Below are 1123 nucleotides of genomic sequence, written 5' to 3' on the forward strand. Positions count from 1 at the left end.
ATGCTGGAGTGCAGTGGCACGATCTCAGCTCACTGCAACCTCTGCCTCCATGGTTCAAGAGATTCTCCTGCCTCACCGTCCAAGTAGCTAGGACTACAGGCACATGCCACCACGCCCAGCTAATTTATTGTATTTTTAGTAGAGACGGGGTTTCACCATGTTAGCCAGGATGGTCTCGATCTCCTGACCTTGTGATCCGCCCGCCTCAGCCTCCCAAAGTGCTGGGATTACAGGTGTGAGCCACTGCGCCCAGCCTGTAATAATTAATATGGTGATATCTGTCTTTACAACAATCCCACCCATGAGGTTGGTGATATTTGTATCCTATTTTTCGAGATGAGAAAATGGAAGGACAAAGAATTTTAAAAGCTTGCCCACTTACTGGTAGAGGTAGCAAAGCCAGGACTTGAACCCAGGAAGTCAGGCCCTCCAAAGTCTTCTATCATTTTATTTACTTGCCTTTTTTCCCCATTCCTGTTCAACTAATGGCTATGATTTGTGTCAAAGGTCTTTTCAGAACCAAAAGAAAAGAAAAGACAATATTGTATTAACTGATATTCTGTCTACTTTTACTGTCAGGTGAGACAGTTGCTTGGAATAGTGAATCAGAATCTGAACGTGGTGCTTCTAAGACAATAAAGACAGGGAGAATCCTAAGCTGGCATTCAAAAAAACGTCGCAGATCACATCATTCCACATCTCATTGTGTAATCTGGACAGCTGAACCCTCAACAGATTCAGGGACTAGTTCAAGGTCACACACGCAGCGAAAAATGTAGTTGAAACCAATTTAGTAGGAGGGCCCCTACCAACCTCCTCTTGTTAGTTTGAATAGCCTGCATGAGAAGGAAAAGCAGCAGTAATATCAATTAGAAACAGGAAAGCTCATCTGCCTCCTAACTCCCTAAAGATCTTTCGGGCCCTTTAAAAAAAGGTAGTGTCCAAGACACAAATACCAAGTCCACTGAAGGTCTCACTAACCAAATTGTGTGATGAGGCATTTCTGCAGATGAATATTTTTTTGGAGCTCTAAATCATCTCATCCTTAAATTAAATAATTCTTCCCCCCCCACCCCCCCGCCTCCACAAGGTAATTTAGAATAAAGAAGATAGTGTTTGTAAC

Source organism: Homo sapiens, chromosome 21 (assembly GCF_000001405.40).
Source record: "Homo sapiens chromosome 21, GRCh38.p14 Primary Assembly".
NCBI classification, from domain to species: Eukaryota; Metazoa; Chordata; class Mammalia; order Primates; family Hominidae; genus Homo; species Homo sapiens.